This window comes from Homo sapiens, chromosome 16 (genome assembly GCF_000001405.40).
Source record: "Homo sapiens chromosome 16, GRCh38.p14 Primary Assembly".
NCBI classification, from domain to species: domain Eukaryota; kingdom Metazoa; phylum Chordata; class Mammalia; order Primates; family Hominidae; genus Homo; species Homo sapiens.
In genome coordinates, this window is record NC_000016.10 from 28,143,361 (window position 1) to 28,167,379 (window position 24,019).

A 24,019-nucleotide genomic window follows, 5' to 3' on the forward strand; every position below is an offset into this window, starting at 1 on the left:
ATCTAGATGCTGTGCCAGGTATTTTACATACATGATTTCCTTGAATCCTAACCATCCTGCAAGAGAAGTGTTAAGTACGTCCATTTTGCAAGAGGAAATGTGATCAGCATATAACTTGACCAAAAGTAACACGGCTAGCCTAAAGCAAAAAAAGAATTTAAATTCTCTATACCACTGCTCTATTAGTATAATGATCTGCAAAAGTGTGTGTTTAATACTAATAATCTGCTAGTATATATTTTCTCAACAGGACCATATTCTTCACATCTCTCATTTGTACTTTGTTTTTGTTTTTTTAAACAGTCTCATTCTGTCGCCTAGGCTGGAGTCCAGTGGTATGATCTTGGCTCACTGCAACCTCTGCCACCCGGGTTCAGGAGATTCTCCTGCCTCAGCCTCCCAAGTAGCTGGGATTACAGATGCCTGCCACCACGCCCAGCTAATTTTTGTGTTTTTAGTAGAGACAGGGTTTCACCTTCTCAGCCAGGCTGGTCTTGAACTCCTGACCTCGTGGTCCCCCTGCCTTGGCCTCCTAAAGCGCTGGGATTACAGGCAGGAGCCACCGCACTCGGCCTTGTACTGTTTTTTAAAAAGCATTTTCATATTAATCATTTCCTCAGTTTATTCTCACAACAAGCTTGAGAGATATGAAGGAATATCTACCACTAAATATAGAAAAATGAGGCATAGTCCCAGAACCAAAAAGATATGCCTATTTAGCATGCAAGAAAGATTATTTTGGCAAAAGTAACTTTTCCTTCAAGAATCTCATTTCAAAAACATAATTACTTAAAGTTGGCAACTTCACCAAAAACAGGATCTCCTGTGTGTAATACGATTTCTGATATATGAACGTACTACCTATAATCACACATGTGACCTGACACCATAGCAACCTGGAACTTATTCCACAATTACAAAAACCATCTTTGGGAACAAAAGAACAAATGTTTAAACTTGGAAAATAAAATTCTCAACAGAATATTTGCATATTTATTTATTTTAATTTTCAATAGAGACAGAGTTCAGCAAATGGTACCAGTGACTGGTACCAAGAGACACAAGGAGTCTCACTATGTTCCCAGCCTGGAGAGCAGTGGCCAGCCACAGCGTGATCACTGCACACAACAGTTCTGAACTCCTGAGCTCCAGCGATTCTTCTGCCTCAGCCTCCCATGTGGCTGAGACTACAGGTACATACTACCACATCTAGGTCCTGTTTAGAATTTTTTAAACTCATAAAACCTCAGCAATGGAAAAGCCTTTGGAGTTCCAGCCCAACCTTTTCTCTGCAGTGGAGTCTCTCCTCTCCACCTTCCTCCATTTGGTACATTTATGGGGAAAGAGTATTCACTAACACCACCACCAGGTGAACACTTGCAGTGTGCCAAGCATTCTAAATATGTTAGTTCGTTATTTCAATTAATGTCTCAACAACTATTATTTTCATCCTCATTTTACAAATGAGGAAACAGAAGCTTCCACAGGCTAAGTACCTTACCCAAGTACCCCTAGGTAGGAACTACAAAACCAGGATCCAAACATAGGTCTGTGCGATTCCCCGTCATGGCTTCCACTCGACAGAACCCCCTCATGCACTGGTTTTACAACACAATGACCACCTAATCTGAAATTGCTCTTATAAATACTGTGCAAAGAAGTAGGAGCTATAACCAAACTGAGTAAAATCTGCAGGCACTCTGTTAAGTATGATAAAGTACTTAGGGCTAGATCACCTAGTTTGTAATCTCATAGCATAAATATACAAATTACACGAATCAGTTTTAGTTTATTAGGAAACTACTCTGATCCTAAAATGCAAAATATAGCTTCTTTGCCTCCTTCATGACTGCCTGCTCACTGTGTGACTGGGATGCAGTCACCTACTGAGACTATGATGGGTATGTTTCTGCTAAGAAAAGCTGCCACATTTACTTTCCCCATATATGGATGCTGCCATTATTTTCCTGGCATGCTGAATCTCCACCTTCCCCTCCTCTTCTCCCCACCCTGTGGCACAAAGAACATATTGTACAGGAAATATACTCTCTTCCTGCAAGCAAGAAAAATGGGTTTGAGAAACATATGGGGGGGGAAACAAACCATTCCGCATTCTCTGTTTTTTAAAAATACAACAAAAAGTGCAAAAGCAATTATCTCTGGGGTGTGGGATTATGTTTATCTTCCTTACATTTTCCTATATCTTTTCCTAGATTTAAAAATGAACACCTTTTTCTTAACAGGTATTTATTAATTTATTTAGGAAATTTTCAAACACATACAAATGGGGTAAGAACATAATGAACCCCAAGTTCCTAGGAACTAACTCCAACATCAATCACCAACACATGGGCAGCCTGTTTCTTCTCTACAGGAACCCACTTCCCTTCTACCCCCACTGGGTTATTTAAGCAAATCCCAGATGTCATATCATTTTATCCAATAAATACTTCAGTTTGTATCTCTAAAATAAGGGCTATTAAAAAATTAAGAACATTAACACAAATGCACTAAAATATAAAAAATTAGTAATACATATTACTTTTAAAATTTTAAAAAGTCTTAACAAAATACTTAAAGGAGAAAAAAAAGGAAATGCTCAATGGCATTATTGCCTAAACAGCTTACATGACTCAGCTTCACTGAAAAGGTCCAAATGCATGGCTGTCTCTTAGGCCACTAGAATAACTGGCAAAATGACCATATCTAGTTTTCAGTGTTTGAGGAGTTTACCTGTTGAGAACTGCTTCCTTGTCTCCAAGACGACTTTTAATTTTACTTGTCAGATAGTCCAAAAACAGCGTCCAGATATCCAAACAAGAGAAGTAACCTTCATGAGTAGGCTATGGTACAAAAAAAATCCAGACAATGAAATTATTTAATGCTACTATTCCTTAGAAACACACACATGCCAGTGTTTAATTCCAGCAGAATGATGAAATCATAAGCCTAGATTCCCCAGTTTCCTGGTAACCAAAACTGGTGGCTTTTAGTCGGTCTATACCATTGGGCCCTCCTGAACCTTACAAGACAAGGGTACCATGGAACACATCATGAGGGAGATACTGTGCAGCATAAACTGAGTTATAAAATAAGTCAAGCAAAAACCTATCTTAAAATCTGAGACTGGTAGAGAGGGCTCTTACAGATCATCTAGTTTAAATCTATTTTCCAGAGAGAAATCGAGATTCAGAGATATAAGTTGTTCAAGGCCAGAGGTAAAAACAAGTCCCTTTACCCCCAGCCAATGCTCTTTCCATTACAAACCATTACGAAAGCAAAAATCAGTTTCAGTGGCTCCAAAGGTGACAGGTTCACACATTTGAATGTAAGGAAAGTAACACTTGCAGTCTTCCTACAGAACAGACTGAAAATGAGCTCATTAAGTCTGACCCTCAGGGCATTATCCCATTTGCAAAAGCAAGGGTGTCAAACGTGCTAATAGCAACCTCCAACCAGGTGCTGATGTGGAGGAACAAAGTGAGAAGTCTTTGTAGGATCCTAGTAGTACAATGAAGACCACTGCACTAGTTAACTTTCTCAAGGGCTCTGAGACTCTATTTCATGCAAAGTCCAGGCAACACAATCTCCAACAGCTACTCCTTCCCCTATGCATTCAGGTTCAACTTGTGGCTCCAAACCCTGATATCTCCACTCAAATGCTCACTACCTGAAAGACTCCTTTGGTTTTGCTGGTGGCTGTCTCACTGGACCACATATTTGGTGACAAGATCAAATATGAAAATAAATAATAACATGACCTTCTTGGATCAGTTTCTTTCCATTGCTGATCCACATGGAAATCTAGACGTTTACAAGGGCATACATGGAGGTGCCCAAGAAATAACTAACAATGGGTGGTGGTATCCAGTGGGAGTTCTGTACCTAAGCTGAAGTCTGAGACAGAATAAGTGTAACTTGGCTGGGCGTGGTGGCTCATGCCTGTAATTCCAGCATTATGAGAGGCCACGGCAGGTGGACTGCTTGAGACCAGGAGTTCGAGACCAGCCTGGGCAACATAGTGAGACTCGGTGTGTATATTTTAGAAAAAAAATTAAAATAGGAAAGGAAAGGAAGAAAAAGAAAGAAAAAAGAAAAGAGTGTAACTTAAAAAGCCAGGCAAATTCCAACTTCACGACCCAAAGGGTAGCTCTGGAACTAGACAGGACCAACCTCAGAAAACAAAATGACCAAGTCCTGTCTCTACCTCATACTTGGCAATACTGACAATATCCACGACATGAAGTGAACCAGGAGAATAACCAGGAAAAACAATGAATAAGCCACATGGAAATGATACGGCAGCCAGACCGAGTGGCTCACATCTGTAATCCCAACACTTTGGGAGGCCCAGGCGGGTGGATCTCTTGAGGTCAGGAGTTTGAGACCACCCTGGCCAACATGGTGTAAACCCTTTCTCTACTAAAAATACAAAAATTAGCCGAGCATGGCGATGCACGCCTGTGATCCCAGCTACTCGGGAGGCTTAACAGGAAAATCGCTTGAATCCAGGAGGCGGAGGTTGCAGTGAGCTGAGATCGTGCCACTGCACTCCAGCCTGGACAACAGAGCAAGACCCTGTCTCAAAAAAAAAGAAGAAATGATATGAGTAGTCCTTGGACAGGCCACTAGACTTGCCCATCCAAGAGACACACTCTTGTCCTAGGTTCAACTTGCTGAGCTTCCCTCAAGTCAATCACCAAGGTTATCCCTCCTTGGTTCAAAACTATCCACTAGCCCCCTCAAAAGAGCACAGCTCATCAGATGCATATGGAAGTGCCTTTGGGAAAGGTTACCACATAAATCCAAGTATTATGGCTCCGTCAAAGTACTTTATAATTATACATATAAACTTCATGCATGTGAATTGAGGACTTGCTATATGCTCAAGGCTGGGGGAAAGGTGAGCAGACACACCCTGTATAACCTGAAGCACCACCTTTCACATCCATTCCTGCAGGCCCCACTGCGAGGGCTTGTGCACTGCCCACAGGCCGCCCATGACCTGGCCTCTGATAGTTGCTGTGGACATGGTTCATTCCGGTCATCAAGATGATGGGCTGGCTCCATTTTTGAAGTCGCCTAACTTTTCAAAACCTTCACAGACCCATTTTTAAAATGGACCTAGACCCCAATTTACTTTTCAGATTCCAGGGCTACAAATCCAGGTTTCTTTAAGAAACTAATGATACCATTCTATCTTCCAAGTGGTTTACAGTGTTTAGTTTTCATTTGCATTGGTCTATGTGATCTTCATAAGTCTTGGAAAGTGAACAAATATTTTGCATCTTCCCCTTTTACAGATAAAGAAACCAAGGCTCAAAAGTCAAGTCCAGTCGTATCTTGCCCAAGGTAACAAGACAATTAAGGAACAAAATCAGAACTAGAAAGTGGATCTTGGCCAGGCACGGTGGTTCACACCTGTAATCCCAGCACTTTGGGAGGCTGAGTCAAGTGGATCACCTAAGGTCAGGAATTCGAGACCAGCCTGGTCAACACGGTGAAACCCTATCTCTACTAAAAATACAAAAAATTAGCCGGGTGGGATGGTGCTTGCCTGTAATCCCAGCTACTCAGGAGGCTGAGAGGTAGAACTGCTTGAACCCAGGAGGCAGAGGTTGCAGTAAGTCAAGATCGCACCATCGCACTCCAGCGTGGGCGACAAGAGTGAAACTCTGTCTCCAAAAAAAAAGAAAATAAAAAAAAAAAAAAACAAAAGGAAGGTGGATCTTAAGGCTCTGTGGTCCACAGCCCTCCCCCCCAGGGTATACCATCTCAGGCACAGTTTCAGGAAGAAGGGGCAAAATGAAAAACACAAGAACAAGAAGGAAGTGGTGAGGACGCACTAAGCTTAGGAGCATTAAGACAGAGACATAGGTTTATAGACAGCCAGGAGGCTCAGCAAGCAAAGCAAGGCAGGAGGCAGCAGACACCTGCTGAGCACTGCTACCTGGAGGCGCTGGCGGCAGGGCATTTACAGAAAAATGCAGGAAAAGAAACAGAAAAGGAGAAACGGTTAAAGAAGATACTAGCACCATCTTCTGTCTTATGACTGTTCTTCGAAATTATGTTCATCAGTACAGTCATGTACCATATAACAACATTTCCATCAACAATAGACTGCATGTGTGACAGTGGCCCAATTCAAGATAACCCCTGTATTTTTATTCTACCTTTTCTATGTTTAGATACAAATCCCTACCCTTGTGTTACAGCTGCCTACAGTATTCTACACAGTAGAATAGTAGAGTAGTACTCTACACAGTAACACACTGCACAGGTTTGTGGCCTACACCACCTAGCCTACTTGTGTGATGGACTCTCCCATCTAGGCTTGCGTAAGTGCACTCTATGATGTACACACAACGATGACATCACCTAACACATTCATCAGAACACATCCCTGTCAATTAAGGGACGCAACACACGACTGTACTAAAATTTGTGAATTTTAGAAACAACAGGCAAGAATATTAAATATATTTATATAACCCTCTAGACGAGAGAAAGACACATTTTCCCACATTACAGGTAATAAAGCTATGAGAGAGTAAGATCATACTTGTTAGTGAACAGATGAGAACTTAAAGCTGTCTCTTGAGATCATTTAATTTCTTATTCTTAAGTCTTATTCCAAAGACCTCCCCTATAAGCAGGCCTTGGTCCTAGAGTGCACCTTGCCACCTTTTCACCATTCTACCTCCCCAGCAAAGGGCTGTCTGCCCTGGTTTACCCACAGTAAGCTGGGACAGTGTACCTTTCAGGTTCCTGTCCCTCTACCTAATGCTCAGAATCTGATTCTGTCTGGACGTCAAAGACATACCTACTCCCACAGGTGGCCAGCCTGCTCCCAGAAAGGAAGGTCCTCATACAGGAGACAGGAGAGCAGAAAGGAGCTCATCTGACGATTCCAGGTACAGAGAGGAGGAAAGAAGCTTGTGGTTTGCTTCATGAGCATACTTTTTCCCCAATTACTTTCCCAATATATAAATATAATATATAAATATATAAAACCACCATTTTCAATTCGATGACACATAGGAGTCTACTGAAAGAATCATAAAAAATAAGCCAGGGGAAAGGCCTGAAGATGTCCACTGCAGTCTATTTTCTTAGGTGAGGAAACTGAAATCTAAGTAAATTTAAGGTTTCTCCAAGGACACAGAACTAATAGAAATAAGCAGACCTCAAACACAAAACTTTTGGGTCCAATCCAAAGAATCAGGCATAAGACATGCCTACTTTAAAAGATGTTTCACTTTCTTCTATACTATACACACCAGAAGACCCCATTTTACATAGAGAGTGAAATGTCAAGACATTGTCATTCCATCTCCCCCAAGTAAGCCTCCTGTTTCTGGCCTCAGAACTGGCTCCTCAGCTCCCTCATTTCTGTTACGCTATTTAACACTCACTCAACATTCTCTCAAATCCTCTTTTTTCATGGTCTCCTTTAAAATTCCTCTGGATGTCCCAAAACTGTTCCACCTCTGATGCTTCTCCCCTACATCCTCACCCTCCTGCAGTCACTTCAAGTTCTCCTGAGGACTATGACCTCGGCACGGCTCTCCTCATGCTCTGCACGCACTTGCCCCTCTACCTGACACCTCTGAGCTTCTTCAAGTTTTGGCCTTCCCTCCCCTGCTCCCAGGACTGGCTCATCCTTACCACTGGGTCCTCTTCTATTTTCACATGCCAAGATCTTCCTTGAGAAAGGACAGCTTTCCCAACAAACCCCTGCTCCAAGTCATATACACAACCCTCCTAGCCTAGACCCTTGCCTTTCCTCTAGACACATTAAGCTACAACACTAGTGGTTAAAAAAAAAAAAAAAAAAAGGCTACTTCTAAAATCAAATGTCCTCAGTGACCCATTAGTTTCATCCCTGGTACATATCAACTAAAACAGCTATCTGTGTACATCCAAAAGCACGTACAAGAATGTTCACTGCAAGATCAGTAAGCACTGGAAGCAGCCAAATCAGCAGGGGAGTGAACTTGCAAACAATGACTTAACAACAGCACAACGAAAATCAACACATGACTGCCACACACAACGCAAACGAAGCTCACAAACACGATGGCCAATAAAAACACAGATAAAACATACATTATGTGCTTTCATTCAGAGAAGCTCTAAAACAGGCGAAACTAGTCTGTGGTATTAAGGTCAGGCCTGGGGTTACTTCTGGGGAGAAACGAGGGGAAGTGATTGGAAAGGACATGAGGAGATTTCCTGGTTGCTGGCAACAATGTACTTCTTGACTTAGGTGATGGTTACATGCATATGTCAATTTGGGGAAAACTCATCTAACTACACCTAAGATTTATGCACTTTTCTGTATGTGTGTCATACTTCAATAAAAAGCTTATTTTAAAAACACACAGCTGGGCACGGTAGCTCACGCCTGTAACACTGGCACTTCAGGAGGCCCAGACAGGAGGCTCACTTGAGGCCAGGTGTTCAAAGTCAGCCTCGTCAACATAGCAAGACCCAATGTCTACCAAAAACTTTAAAAACTAAGATAAAACACACACCAACAGGCACGGGGGATAGGATGTGATAGAAATATCTAAAATTGTACTGTGGTGATGTTTGGACAGCTCCATGAATTCACTGAACATCACTGAGTTATACAATTACAATGAGTGAATTTCATGGTATATAAAATTATACCTCAATAAAGCCACATATATAATTTTATATATTTTTTATGTGTGTGTGTGTGTACACACACATACTAGAATGACTAGGGTCACTAGAATGTAAGTAAACTCAATGCAGGCAAAGACTGCTTGTGAAGGTTGTATGTCTAAATCCTGGAATACAATAGGAGCTCAAAAAATATTTGTGAGGGGGAGAAAAACTTGGACACTACCAAAACTTAACTCTTGAGAGCTTCACTATATATAATCTTCTTGAAGGAGGTTTCAGTGGCAGTTACAGAACAGAACTAAAGGCCGTAATTTCAGACTTTTCCTTTCTTTTGCTTTGTTCACATAATAGTGGTCAAGAGCCCTGACTCTGGGTTCAGATCCCAGCTCCACCACTTACTAACTGTATGACTCTAAGCAAGTTACTCTTTGTGCCTCAGTCTCTTTACCTGCAAAACAGAGATGACAATGGTAATAGAACCTACTTCACAGGGATGTTAGGAAGATTAAACCTGTGACTCTTCACATAATAAGCATTATATTAATGTTTGGAAAATAAAGTTGAAAGAAAAAGTTCTTTCTTCTCAAAGTAACAAGGTAATAAACCTTTTCTCTGGAAGGGAAGGATGACTTTGGTGCTTTACCTGATGAAATGTGTACTTGAACAAAAGTGTCAAAAACTCCACCACAGGGAACTGGGAGTAAGACTCGATTCTTCTTAGGTGAACACTCACAAAGAGCCGAAGAAAGTCAGTAAACTTCTCGATATAGCTAAATGAGACAAGACAAAAGGTGACAATAAGAAACCCAGCCACCTCCTTAGAACTTAAATTCAATCCAAAGTTCTTTCAGTACAGAACTATACAAATTTGTAATATATTTTCTTTTAAAAATATAAAGGCCTGCAACAATTACCTACAGGACAGGCAACCCTTCATTCCATTAACCACCTGAAACATAGCAGAAAAGCAACTTTAATCCTCAGACACTGTCTGCTAAGGCTTCTTATAATCTAGTGCGCTCACATTTTCTAAGTCATTTGTGTTGTGACCCAATTAAAGTGAAGGGAAATGATAAAAAGTTGATGGGCAGATCACTGTGTCATTTCAATCTGGCAAGTCTAGAAGGCTGGTTTTCTTTCCGGGAGGCCAAAATACTAAAGTGAATGGTGCTAAAGACACAAAAACAAAACCAGGCTACGAAGGGCATGGCATCCAGGTAAGATGTACTCAGGCTTGCAACTTAATGGCCATTTTTCCCCCTTTGGTTCCTGGTGCTAATTAAACACAGCACAACCCAATACTCTAAAAGTGATTTCAAATATAAGGGAGGAAGGCTATTAGAACTGGGCAAGCCTCAGGGACTTTAGTCTGATGCTTCCGTTTTGCAGATGAAGCCCAGAGAGGTAAAGTGACCAGCCCAAAGTCACTCAGCCAACTCATGGCAGAACAGGACTATCATCCACTCCCAATCCAGTGCTCTTTCTTTTCACTTCACAGTGAATCCCCAACTCATTTGTATTCACAAAATCATTTCACAGAAGAGTATGGGTCACAGCTGCAAGGATAAGAGATCTCTGTTATTAAATACACAGCACATCATCACTCTCACATTTCAGAAACTGTCATTTTAAGCCCCTAAATACCAAAAGGTGATTAGAAAATGAGATGGCCATACCTTCATAAATCACATTTCAGAGACCAACACAAAAAGGTAAAGACATACTAGGCCTTAGCTGAAAATGAAATAATGGCTAAAAGCAATTCTGAAGCTCATTACTGCAAAAGCTATTTTTCAAAACAGAGATATGTGAAATAATAAAAGCAGAGAAAACTACTACTCAGAAAAGCAAAACTGGCCCGGAAATAAAATGTCCCATGTTGCTCCTGGGACCTATCTCCCTGAGGGTGGCCAGCCTGCCTGCCTGACCTCTATGCGGCCGAGCTTATTTGCAGCTTTTTAAAAAATACATATTAATTTGTTTTGATAAAGAGAATGGCTGTCTCTGTGGATCATGGGGCCAAGTACTCGAAAAACAGTAAGGCACTAAAATCAACTGTTTTTAGAGACAGGAACATACAAAGACACTTCTCTCTGGTGTCATCAATCACTAATACTCAAGAGTAGGAACTCCTTCCTCACTCACTTATGTACCGCATGATAGTTTTACATGGATATTCAAAGTCACCACCCAGCTGACTGTTCTTTAGGAAGGTGCACTCAATTCCCTACTACCCATTTAAAAAAAAAAAAAAAAAAAAAAAAGCCATGGGCTAAATACAGAACAATCTCAATTTTACTTTAGTATCTAACCCAATTTTTTAAAAATACAAACAAGGCTGTTCAGTAGCTAAAACTACAGATTTTATTTCACCTCATTTTCTTTCCCTTGCCCACCTTCTGGTACAGGTGCTAATGAACAGTAGAAAGTTAGGGGAAAAGGCAGTAGAGGGAAAGAGAAGCCAAGGATCTGGTTAGCAGCTCCTAAACAACTGAGAATGGACTGAGCTGTTTAGAATTAGTGGTAGGGGACCCAGAGCCAGGAAGCAAGCACACAGCATTATTTATGTCACCTTTCTGCTCCCAGGCACCTCTCAGCTTTCACAGGGCAATAGGAAGCACAGGATTAAAATGTAAAACCAAGAGCACAAAAGTTACACGTAACAACATCAGTACATAGACAATCCATAATGACATTTCTATACCATCCAAATGGAAGCCACAACAAAGTTGTCTGTGACTACATTATGATTAAAGTCAAAACAACTGATATTTGATAGTTGATACAAGCAGCTAGATTTTTAAATTAACATATGAAGAGATAGACATGAGACACACAGATCATTAAAAAAAAGGTAATACAGCCTTTCTTAACCACAGACAGAAAGAATATGAAAGTGTGAATAATGATGCCTTTGAATTCATATGGAAAGCTATCACCAAATAATTTTTAAGAACATATTACCATATCAGATTGTGTTCTTATACAGAGCAAACATCACGGTTTTACAATAAACCAAACCAAAATAATCTTATGTACCAATTTTTTAATTTTAGAAATATTTTACAAAACTGCCCAATTTAAAAAGCACTACAACTTTCAACTTTATGCACTTGATTTTATATTCTGCTATTTACTCTAAGGAAAAGAAAATAGCTTAATTCTATATAGCTTAATAACAAAGGACAATCTAAGGAAAACTGAGAATATTAGCAACTTTTGCTGCCATGTCATCTGTAAATATTTACTAATTCGATACGATTTATTGCTTGAAAGTCCCTAAACCGTCAATCTGATTGTTCATAATATAAGTTTCCAAATTCCCTCCTGTTTTCATACAGCAGCAGTTGTAAGATACATAAATGACCTCATCTGCAAGAGACATAAATCATGAAACCCTGCCTCAGAGTACTGTGATGGAGTCGTCTTTTAGAGTGCTTTTAAAAAAAAAAAAAAGTAGGTCATTGTAGGCTCCACTTGAGAGGACAATAACAAAGAAACACAGCTGTGTGCTACATTAACCTGTGCACACATTAACATCCCTCCTATAGTTTGATGAAAACTTGCCATTGGTGTAAAACTCACAATAACAACAACATTCCTGAATACTGCAGGATGTTCACTTGGGAAAAGTCAAATAGTAAAAACTGACACCAAGTGACAAAAGGCGATTATAACTCCTGTACCTCCACGGACCTCTTCTCCTGTTCTTGGCTACGCAGGAGCAGCAGTCTCAGTCCCTGCACCACCTCAGACCTGCAAGCAAATAGTAAGGAAAAGGGGGCAAGAGGAGTAGAAGGGAGGACAGGAGATGGATGGGGAGAAAAGACAACAAACCTACACAAGGCACAAGCATTTTTCAAACTCAGTCACTTCCCTTAACCACCCAAGCCCTTCCAGCTAATCTCAGACTTACTGGCACACACCTACCTTTCTGTTCCTCACCAGGAGCCCCATATTCTGAAATCAAAGAGGATTACAGATGCCATGCAGCACAGCATGGTAAACAGTCAGGGCCCTTTCTTGGGGCACACCAGCTCCACACTTGGTTTCATTACCTCTCATCGAGCTCTTCTAGCCTGCTCTTCACTGTGTGGGCATTGTTATCCTTGGTGATTTTCTGCAGGAGGTAGAAAGTCTGCTGGAACATACGCAGTAAATACTCCTCAAATTCCATAGGCACACAGTTCTTGGACATGAGTTCATTGATGCAGGACATGGCCAGGACCCCCAGCCGGCCGCGCTCCTGACCCGAGACACAGTTCTGGCTGCTGCCGTTAACTGACGCCATCTTTCTGGCCCGGATGTCACAGCCAAATCGTGCAAAGTGGAAGATGGTGGTAAGGAGGGATGGGGTGATGCTGGCAGACAGAGGAATCCAACTGAAGAGATGGGCCAGGCACTCCAAAGCCAGGGAACAGATATACTCACTCTCCACATCAAGGATGGGAATTGGCTGATTCAACAGTTTGGCTGAACTGGGACTCTGCAACAGGTTACTCAGTAAGTCACCTGAAAATAAGAAAGGCTTTTAAGCTATCCAGCATCAAATCTCTTACAAATGACTTTAAGTAATTCTCCTTCAAAAAAATATATATATATATGTATACATATATGTATCAGTTTAGTTACCTATGAAATAAAAAAATAAAATCTATATGCTCAAAGTTAAACACTAATTAGGAAATTTTAACAGTACAGCAAAAATAAGATAATTGATTATGATTCTTAGTGAGGGGGATCTGGATACAATCTTTAGTGTTTTGACTCAAATTTAGTTTTAGTGAGATTTGTACAACAGCAGTTTCCCAGGAGACATAAGTGAAGAGAAGATGGGATTATTCTCTGGCTGCAAAACCCCAAATCCACTCAAGTTTTTGTTTTCTTGCTACTGTTCCCCCAAATCATGACCTTGCTTTTGAAAAGCATGATACATGACCATTAAATAAATAAACAAATAAAAATCCCTAACACCACATACAAAGTTGGGCACCAAATGAAGTAAAGACTTAAACCAAAGATAAAACTTTAAAGTTAACAGAAGAAAATATAAGAGTATTTGAAATATAAGAGAGAAAAAGACTCCTTAAAACTACCAAAAAAGAAAACCTTAACAAAAAATACTGAGGAATATAACAAAATTAAGATTTTCTAATCAAGGCTGGGCGCGGTGGCTCATGCCTGTAATCACAGCACTTTGGGAGGCCGAGGCGGGTGGATTACCTGAGGTCAGTAGTTCAAGACCAGCCTGACCAACATGGTGAAACCCTGTCTCTAGTAAAATACAAAGTTAGCCAGGCATGGTGGTGCATGCCTGTAATCCCAGCTACTTGGGAGGCTGAGGCAGGAGAATCGCTTGAACCCAGGAGGTGGAGGTTGCAGTGAGCTAAGATCACGCCATTGCACTCCAGCCTGGGCATCAAGAGCGAAACTCCATCTCAAAAAATAAAAAATAAAAATAAAAAAAGAGTTCCTAATCAATGAAAAACATTAAGGGAAAGTTACCAGGCAGACAACAGACTGTGAGAAGATATTCACAATTTCTAACATCGAAAAGGACTAAAAACTAAAATCTATTTTTAAAATGCTACACATCAGTAAACACAACAACCCCAGTACAAAAACAGGCAGTTGATATGGAGAGACAATTTTCAGAGAAAGAAACTCCAAAGCATATGAAGAGATTTCAAATTCATTAGTAATCAGAAAAAGCAAATTAAAAGGAGTCTGAAAAAATGTTGGCAAATGCCAGACGTCAAGTACAAGGAATGGATGCAGGAACCTTCACAAGGCGGTGCAGGAAGAAGGGCCATTCTGAGGAGGACCTGGCACTCTGGAGTCCTATTAAACATTCACATATCCTTTCACCTGACCATTCTCCTGGTATGCTCCCAAAGCAACCCTCACACGGGTCCATGAAGGGACAGGCGTGAGGGGGAGAGCTGGAGGCAGTCTGGCCTCCTCCTTGGCGGGAGAGGATAGGGAATGCAGAGTCAGGTATCATATCACACAGTGAGCAGAAGTAGAGGACTAAGGCACAGACGGGCAACAGCTTGGAGAGACCTTAAAAAGATACAGTTAAATTAAAAGTAAGAAACAGAATGACAGTTTTACTATACCACTTACATATTAAAATACATGGACACAAAACAGTAAGTTCTTACAAGAACATGTTACCAAACAGAAGACAGAGGTTATCTACATTAAAATGGCTGTTGATTACGGGGAAGGGAGTCCACAAATTCAAAACTATTTTTAAAGGAATACTAAGATGTTCTTTTCCTTTTTCACTTTCATTATCTCCAAGTGTACAATGGAGCTTTCCAGAGGCTACATCACATGGGATATTGCAACAGATGAAATGCAGAAGCTGCCTTTCACTAAGCCACATGTTAGAGATTTGCAAAACTGTAAAACAACACCACTCTTCTCAGTGAATTTTTCTGTTTGCTTTGAAAAATATAGTTATTTTTTATTAAAGCATATTATCTGTTAATATGTAATGGGTTCATCACAGATATTTTTAAATGAATTAATGACTATTTGTACATTTTTCTCAGTTTTTCTATCAGCAGATATAACTTACAAAGTGTTTTGAGGACCTCAGTAATTTTTTAAGAGTCAAGGGACCCCAAGACCCAAAATTGGAGGACCACGGGGCTACTCTGTGGACCTGGACCAGTAATGTAATCAGGGAACTTGTCAGAAATACAAATCATCAGGCCCCATCCCACACCTACTGGAGTAGAGCCTGAAGGGGTTGGGGCCCAGGAATCTGTGTTCTTATAAGCACTCCAAGTGATTCTTATGCTTGCTTGATTTTTGAAAGCACTAGACTAAAGGAAATCAAACAAAATGAAACAGGGGAAAAAAAGCTATAAAATTATTTTAGAGAAGACAAAAGAAGAAAAATATTTAAAACTATAACAACAGGCCAGGAGCGGTGGCTCACACCTGTAATCCCAGCATTTCGGTAGGCTGAGGCGGGCAGATCACTTGAGCCCAGGAGTTCAAAACCAGCTTGGGCAACATAGCGACACCCCGTCTCTACAAAAAATACAAAAATTAGCCAAGCATGGTGGCACATGCCTATAGGCCCAGCTACTCAGGAGGCTGAAGTGGGAGGATCGCTTGAGCCCGGGGAGGTCAAGGCTGCAGTGAGCTACGATTTTACCACTGCACTCCAGCCTGGGTGACAGAGCAAGACTCTGTCTTTAAAAAAAGAAAAAAGAAAAGAAGAAAAAAAACTATAACAAGAAGAAAAATTTCCTGAAATTTGACATGACTCTACAACATGAAAGGGTTTTATCCTGTTCCAAGAAAAAAATGATGAAGAGTGATCAATACTAAGAATGTTTAAAATGAGGAAGCAGTGTAGGCAGAAAAAGTACAGATACAAAGGAGAAAACACCTCAGTCAGACTTCTCCACAGTAACATTCACAGCATGGGGACATTCTCTCAAACACGCAAAAACTCAGGTAACTCCACAAATTCTTCTCAAGGAGGATAACAGACAAAGAAACCACACAGATAAAGAGATAAATCAAAATAAAGAATTAAGGAATGGAGAAGCTGTAGCAAAAGGACACACTGGCATCAAATTACATAGAGACTCAAGACTAAACAGACGTAGGAATTAAGAGGGTGCGCTAGCTAACTTTCCCATCTTTCACAAGGAAGAAGTCTCAAAATACATGGTCTAAAATTAAACATGGTGGCGGGGGGAGGTGATACATAAAATTCAAACATGTAGTACAAAATTGATTTTTATCATTTTTTCTTAACCATAAAGGTATCTTTTAGAAATTAGTATTTCTTGTAGAAAAAGCACCTCAAGGTCAGCAATTCCTTAAGTTTAACAATTTTTGTTACGTTTAGGTAAAACCTGGCCGGGCACAGTCGCTCACGCCTGTAATCCCAGCACTTTGGGAGGCCAAGGCGGGCAAATCACTTGAGGTCAGGAATTCGAGACAAGCCCGGCCAACATGGTGAAACCCTGTCTCTACTAAAATACAAAAATTAGCTGGGCGTGGTGGTGCGTGCCTATAATCCCAGCTACTCGGGAGGCTGGGGCAGGAGAATTGCTTGAACCCGGGAGGTGGAGGTTGCAGTAAGTAGAGATTGCACCACTGCACTCCAGCCTGGGCAACAGAGCAAGCCTCCGTCTTAAAAAAAAAAAAAAAAAAAAAAAAAAATCAAGTAAAATGCTGGGTACTGTGGCTCACACCTGTAATCCCAGCACTTTGGGAGGCTGAAGCGGATAAATCACTTGAGGTCAGAAGTTCCAGACCAGCCCGGCCAAAATGGTGAAACCCCATCTCTACTAAAAATACAAAACTTAGCCGGGCATGGCAGCTGCCACCTGTAATCCCAACTACTCAGGAGGCTGAGGCAGGAGAATCGCTTGCCCCTGGGAGGCGGACGCTGCAGTGAGCCAAGATCATGCCACTGCACTCTAGCCTGGATAACAAAGTGAGACTCCATCACCAAAAAAAAAAAAAAAATCAAGTAAAACTAAAATTTAAATGTTATTAAAAAATATATAATCTGATGCCATTTTTGTCTTTTTATCTGTCTTATCTCTGTGTAGAGATGTCTGGAGTGATCAAATATTATTTGATGTTCTTTCTATGTAAGATACTGGGTAAATGTTTACATTTTATTTTGTACTTTACAGCACTAGGTCTCAAATGTTTGGGTTTCAGAAGTCCTCACTCTTAAAAATTACTAAGCATCCCGAAGAGAAAGCTCTTAGGAGCATTACTTCTATTGATATTTGCCATATTAGAAATTAAAGCTGAGAAGTGTTTAAATATTTAATTCATTTAATTACAAAGCCATCATGTTAGCATAACATTTTTAAATGAAAAAAACTGTATTTTACCCAAAAATAGTGAGAAAGGTAGTACAGTTTTTCTATTTTTGAAATCTCTTTAGTGGCTGGTTTAAAAGATAACTAGACTCTCCCAACTGCTTCTGCCTTCACTCTTTTGCAATAGATTGTTTTCACTGAAGTATGTGAAGAAAATGCAACTCCACACAGATATGCAACTACAAATGAACAAAGGGCTTTAGTGGCCTTTTCAAATAACTGTGTCTATTCTATCATATTAGATTAAAGTCTGATGAATAGTCATTTCTGAAGGGTTAACTGCAATGTGGAATCTGGAATTAACTTTTTTATTCATATACTCATGAGAGAATGGGAATAAAAATGACAAACAATGTCTTAGTATTTTTATGAACACATACCTGGCCTTTGGGACTCCCTAAAAGGGTTTGGGGGACTTCCAGGGGTCCCCAGACTTATTGAGAGCTGAGGTCTTATGCTAACGCTGGAAGAACATGAACAAGTTGGCTAGCCTTTCTCAGCCTCAACCTCCTCCGCCATTATAATGAGGATTTTGTGAATTCATTAACGAAGGGTTTAAGTTCTATTCTTAAAAGTGGACTTATCAAGTTGATTTATGAGGAGCCAAAAAAAAGAAAAGTAGATTTAAAAGCTGTCCCTAGCATGTGGCTCAGAAGACTTTTTCCAGAATGGATGCTAAAAGGAAAAAAAAAAACAAAACATCTATAATAATACTTATGGTAAAAGCAGTAACAGCCACCATCTGCTGTGTGACTACTTGCTTGGCCCTATACTGAAAACTATATATGCATATTCTCATTTAATATTCACAACTCTAAGGTGGGCATTATTACCCATATTTACAGACCATTAAAATAACTAAGGCACAGACAGACCAAGTGTTTCCCCAAGTCCCTCTGCTAGCATAAGGTAGAAATGAAACCAAACCAGGGTCTGGCCTCAAAACCAATGTTTCCTTCCAAAAACCAAGTTAACTGGAAAGATTATGCAACCAGGAAAAATGAGCAATAAGAAAGCTAATATTTAAATACAGAAAAATATTCCTAATTGTTCTCCTCTGTATTAAAGTGAAAAAATAAATATGGAAAAATATGTATGGCCTAAAATCATATGTAAAATAATAGCATGTGTATACCATGACTACAAGCATAGAAAGACAAATATGTGAAGACAAAGACTGAACAAGATTATGCAAAGGCAAAAACTGTTTAGGTGGATATGAATGATCTGCGATTACTTTTGTCCTCAAAAGAAAGAAAATAGCAGGACCATGGTCATGGAAGTCAGCATCTGCTAAGGAGTGTACCACAACTCATTTGCCTAAAAAGGTTGGGGTGAGGGAAAGAACCTGTTAAGGCTATTTCTCCATAAAAACGATTTTACTCAAATTTAAATGTTTCAAGGTATTTTAGTGGATGGCGGAAGTGTTTTTCAAAAATTACACCGTAATCAAAGTGGAAGGAATCAGCACAAAACAGATTCTGCTTCATGCAGCAGCACTTCCAATGCAAACCTAAGAGAGCTTTATCAAGTTCTCTATGGAAGAGGGTAGCTTGATTACAAAACCTGTGACCCTGGCAGCGATACGCACCAATGCCCACAGAGCTGTGTAGACAACTCTGGTGCATTTACTGACTTAGAAGGAATGAAGACATGGTTGGCATATTTGTAATTTTTTTTTTTTTTTTTTGGAGACAGGGTCTTGCTCTGTCGCCCAGGCTGGAGTACAGTGATGCAATCATGGCTCACTGCAGCCTCAACCTCCTGGACTCAAGCCATTCTCCCACTTCAACCCTCCCAAGTAGCTGGGACTACAGGCAGGAGCCACCATGCCCAGATATATATATATTAGAGATGGGGTCTCACTATGTTGCCAACACAGGTCTCAAATTCCTAAGCTCAAGTGATCCTCTCACCTCGGCCCCCCAAAGTGCTGGGATTTACAGGCCTAAGCCACCATGCCCAGCCCTGTAATAAACTTTCGTGCAAAGCTTTTTAATTATTGAAACTTCATGTTTTTCCTATCAGTTGTATATTTACTAACTTAAGAGTTTTCCAACCTCAGCACTACTGGCATCTGGGGCTAGATCATTCTTTGGTCTGCTGTGTACCGCGGGGTGTTTAGCAGCATCCCTGGCCTCCACTCACTAGATGCCAATAGCACTTCTCCAGTCGCGTTAACCTAAATTTCTCCAGACACTGACAAATATCCCCTGCAGGACAAACCACAGCTCTAACTGCAGCCTTGGCCAGTAAAATGGGGGAAAACTCTATTCAAGGAGCCCCTGGAGGAGAAAATAAGATCACAGGAGTTGTAAGTGACCCTCCCAAGTCCCACCTTTCTATAGGTAGTATACAAGGAATACATGAAAAGATTTGCATGAAGATATGCAATCTGTTAAGAGTTTGGGAGGAAACAGAAGACTGGCCTCAATTCACACTCTCTGATACATCCTCATCCTGAAGAACTTTTCATCATCACGTATGTACAGATCTATATTTGAAACTATATATCATGTGCATGAGAAAGATATGGTCCCTTAATTTTACTGCAGAGCAATCAAAGCTAACTCAGAATTGCTGTAGTCACATAATCTCATTCTGTGCACTTTTTTCCCCAATGGTCCAGGCAAAGAGAAGTGAACATGAGAGGAGATGAAGGAAGATGAGGCTGCTCAAGTGCAGCAGGAAGGAACAGCCTCAGCAGGCGGGGGGGCAATGTCCACATCTTCCCTCATTTATCCTCAGAGGAAGCTATTCCTTTTTTAAAGTCAAGGACATCAGCGGTCAGAGAAGGTGAAGGATCCACTCAAGGTCACAGAGTAAGTGGCAGGGCCAAGACTCCAAACCAGGGGAAGAAGGAAGTGGACAGAATTGGTGAGAACGACCAAGAAAGCAAAGCTAGGACAATGACCGTGCACCTAGATTTGGAATTCTAGGGTTCTGGTAGGGGTTCATGTCCCCACTCTGCTCACTGGCGATGCAACCCCTGGCAAGCTTCCTTGTTTGTAAGCAAGAGACAGACTAGTCTGATCTCGTGAGGTGAGTGATCACTATTGCAGCCAGTTTAGGAGTTAAGGTAACAATTTGGGGGAACTATGCTGAGAAATAAACCACACACACTCCTTCAAACTTTTTTCTACATCCAGACTATTAAAGGAGTTGTTGCAGGAACTAGTCCCTGGGCTTTGTTCTTTAAAAGTAATAAGACAGAAAATTACATTAAAAGAAAGTATATGGGGAAAAAAACCCCACAAGCCTCAGGTGGCTACTAAACCTAAGACACAGGGCAGGAGAGCCCCACAGGGGCTGAGCTAAGGAATTCATTTGGTTGCTTCACTGGGCCCTACAGTTTCTCAGAACAAATTTTCTCTAGAAAACTGATACGGTCAAGAAAGCAAAACAACTTTCTGGAAGTTTTACTGCTTAACTTGGCATCTTAAGCGCACAAAGACAGTTGAACAAAAGCATCAAAATGAATGGTGATTGCATCATCAGCACTGTCCAAATAGTGGGGCAAGATCTAATGACTTCACTTACATTACCATAAAAAGAAAGAAAAATACTGTAACAAATGAACATGCAATTTTTTTTTAAAGGGGAACTTTACCAGCTTAAAAGCTTACATAACTCCCTAAGTGCCCCCACAGTCTCAATTTATTTTGTTATTTCTCAAATACTAAAATCCAACACTTCAAAAAATTTTAAGAGGCAATTCTCAAGAAGTAGGCACCACATTTTAGGTTTTGTTACAAGCAAATGTCAAGTTAGTTCATATTTTATTCCGCTTAGCCGCATAAAACCTAGGCAACACATGGAAGAAGTAAGCACATATCTCTGGTTTGTATTATCTGACATTCCCCAACATGGCCCTGAGGAAAACAGAGCCTATCAAAGTATAAACTGAGTTAGCTCAGAACCTGTTTGGATGAAGCCAACAGAAACACAAACAAGCATTTCTTCTACAGTAAACTGCTGTTGCTAATAAACCATGCTAGCGAGTATTCAACTGTCTAAAATAAATCTAACTCAAAAGAACTAATCTTGGCTGGGTATGGTGGCTCACACCTGTAATCCCAGAAATCTGAAAGGCTGAGGCGGGTGGATAGCTTAAGCTCAGGAGTTCAAGATCAGCCTGGGCAACATGGCGAAACCCCGTCTCTACAAAAAATACAAAAATTAGCCAGGCATGTTGGTGCACATCTATGGTCCCAGCTACCTGGGAGGCTGAAATGGGAGGATTGCTGGAGCCCAGGAAGTCGAGGCTGCAGTGAATTGTGATCACACCACTGCACTCCAGTCTGGGTGACAGAAGGAGACCTTGTCTCGAAAAAAAGAATTAATATTTGCAAACAGAATTTAAACGAAAAAACAAACTTAACTGTGGATACTCCAAGACATTCGTTCACTCATAAAATCAAATCTCTGAATCATTTCCAAATGTTTCTTTAATCTCCAGATACCGCAACATATAAATCTGCTGAGCCACCTCAAATATCTACCTAAAGAATAAAGGTTTGCCACCAAATACAAAGTTCCATTTCCTATGAGCTTATAATGCACTCTAGAACTCTATAATTGTTTGTAATCTAAGCAGTATGACAAATGGCTCTCTAATAATTTTTAATCCAAGTAAGATAATGAAAATTTGTAATAATTAGTGCACTATGAGTACTCCCCAAAACTTCCAGATAGATTTTTCAATTCTAGAGTAACTCTGTAAGAATTTCAGCTTCCACATACTAACAACAGGCTACATAAAACAGCTTGGGCTTAGAGACGTCTGACTTCCACAGCCTATCTCCTTGAAATAAAGGAGAAGATGTGGAAATATTTCTCATTAGCCACATCAACCTTTACAGTAGAGGAAGCTATATGTGTCAATTCACAGGATGTACTCTGCTGGAAAAGCATTTGTGATCATTTAGTGTAAACAGCAGCATTTAGAAACTAAAAGTTCCTGTTCAGATGCAATTTCCTCTTTCCATCCATCCTTGAAAGTAGTCATCTTTAGAAGAACTACACTCTGAATTTTGAAGCAGATATTAACATAACTGTGGACAATAACTAGCAACCAGTAAACTATTTAATAGCCTCTGCAAATATGCCCCGCTTTACCAAATGACTCTTAACCAATGTTGATTCAATGCTAACTACTGCATAGTCTCCACTATGCAGGCAGAGAGGTCTCCACTATGCAGGCAGAGAGGTCTCCACTCTGCCTTGGCCAACATGAATCCAGTGAGGAAGAAAGCACTCAATATTCCTGTTCCTATGTCCTCTCCTGCAGGCTGCTGCCCACCTCCTGCCACCCCTACAGAAGGACAAGCAGACGTTTCAAGCCCAAAGGCTCCTAACAATCTCAGCACAAGCACATAACCATGACATTCAGGAAAAATAAAAAAATGAGGGAAACAACCTAGGACTATTTTTTTAATGTAATTTTTAAAAACAGAGATAGAGTCTCACTATGTTGCCCAGGCTGGTCTCAAACTCTTGGCCTCTAGTGATCCTCCCACCTCAGCCTCCTCAGTACTGAGGACTACAGTTGCAAATCACCACACCTGGCCCCCAATACATTTAAAAAGAAGAATGCCTTGGCTGGCAGGCAGACCATACCACTTTCTCCTGAGGTCGGGGATGGTGGTGGAGTGGCAGCAGTAACACTGTGTTTGTCCCAGACAGTCTCCAAGATACCTACCAAGAAAGGAGAAACAGAGTTATAAGAGAAATAATGTCCAGCATATAAAAATCATATTTAGAGAAAGTTTCTTGATACCTCTGATCAAACATGAGTACTTGAACATCCCTTTCTTGACCATGTCCTCCTCCAGCTAGCGGCTGTGCCTCTCGACTTCACAGCTATCTTCTGGCTCTCCACTGCTTCACTGTGGCCTTGTGGTGTGGCCTCTCCCCACTGTTGCCTCCAGCACTGCTCTTTGCCAGAGTCACCTGGTTGCTGCATGCACTCACTGGTCACTTAATCCCCATCCTCCTTGACCACACTGTGGCATTACAGGCCATTGCCTAAACCCTTCTCTGAGCTGGTAGCACCACTCTTTCCTGGCTTTTCTCTGGTTTCTTTGAACTCAATTCTATCCCTTTCACTATTACTTCCATCCTCTGCCCATGAGTCATTTAAACACACGTTTCCCCAGGTTCCCTGACTGACCTGCTTCTCCTCTCATTTCACTCTCACTGCTAGAGTGACTCATCCACTGCTATGGCTTCAATATATTCTGAAGCCTCTCAAGTCTCCTGTTCTTGGCCCAAACTCACCTTGACTATATACACCAAGCTCTGCCTCACACGATGGGGGCTTCAGAAACAAGGCAAGGCAGTAACAGACCTGCATGTCCACCTGCTTCCTGGACAATGCTACGTGCATATCCCAAACTCAACTTTTCGTTCCCCACAAACCTGCCACCAATCCTTTTTCGTTCCTCATGCAGGAAACAGGCTGGAAATCCTGGCTTCTGCTGACCTCATCT

The 24,019-nt window shown here is 40.8% G+C and overlaps 1 protein-coding gene across 2 annotated transcripts in view, besides 1 other annotated feature; it reads right to left on the reverse strand.

Moving 5' to 3' along the window:
* The window catches only part of XPO6 (exportin 6), a 113,990-nt gene that overhangs the window by 45,385 nt on the left and 44,586 nt on the right, over positions 1 to 24,019 (reverse strand). For both annotated transcript variants that reach the window (NM_015171.4, NM_001270940.2), the window contains 4 exons: positions 23,148 to 23,225; positions 12,714 to 13,167; positions 9,299 to 9,425; positions 2,734 to 2,843 (listed from right to left, as the gene is read on the reverse strand). In NM_015171.4, the coding sequence (NP_055986.1) occupies positions 2,734 to 2,843; positions 9,299 to 9,425; positions 12,714 to 13,167; positions 23,148 to 23,225 (769 nt within the window). The remainder of the gene's footprint in view (positions 1 to 2,733; positions 2,844 to 9,298; positions 9,426 to 12,713; positions 13,168 to 23,147; positions 23,226 to 24,019) is intronic.
* Positions 3,209 to 3,724: an enhancer, noted in NCBI's record as "NANOG hESC enhancer chr16:28157890-28158405 (GRCh37/hg19 assembly coordinates)". NCBI's record gives its function as "activates a minimal SCP1, AML or CMV promoter by ChIP-STARR-seq in primed H9 embryonic stem cells {active_cell/tissue: H9 hESC(primed)}" and the evidence as "EXISTENCE:reporter gene assay evidence [ECO:0000049][PMID:30033119]".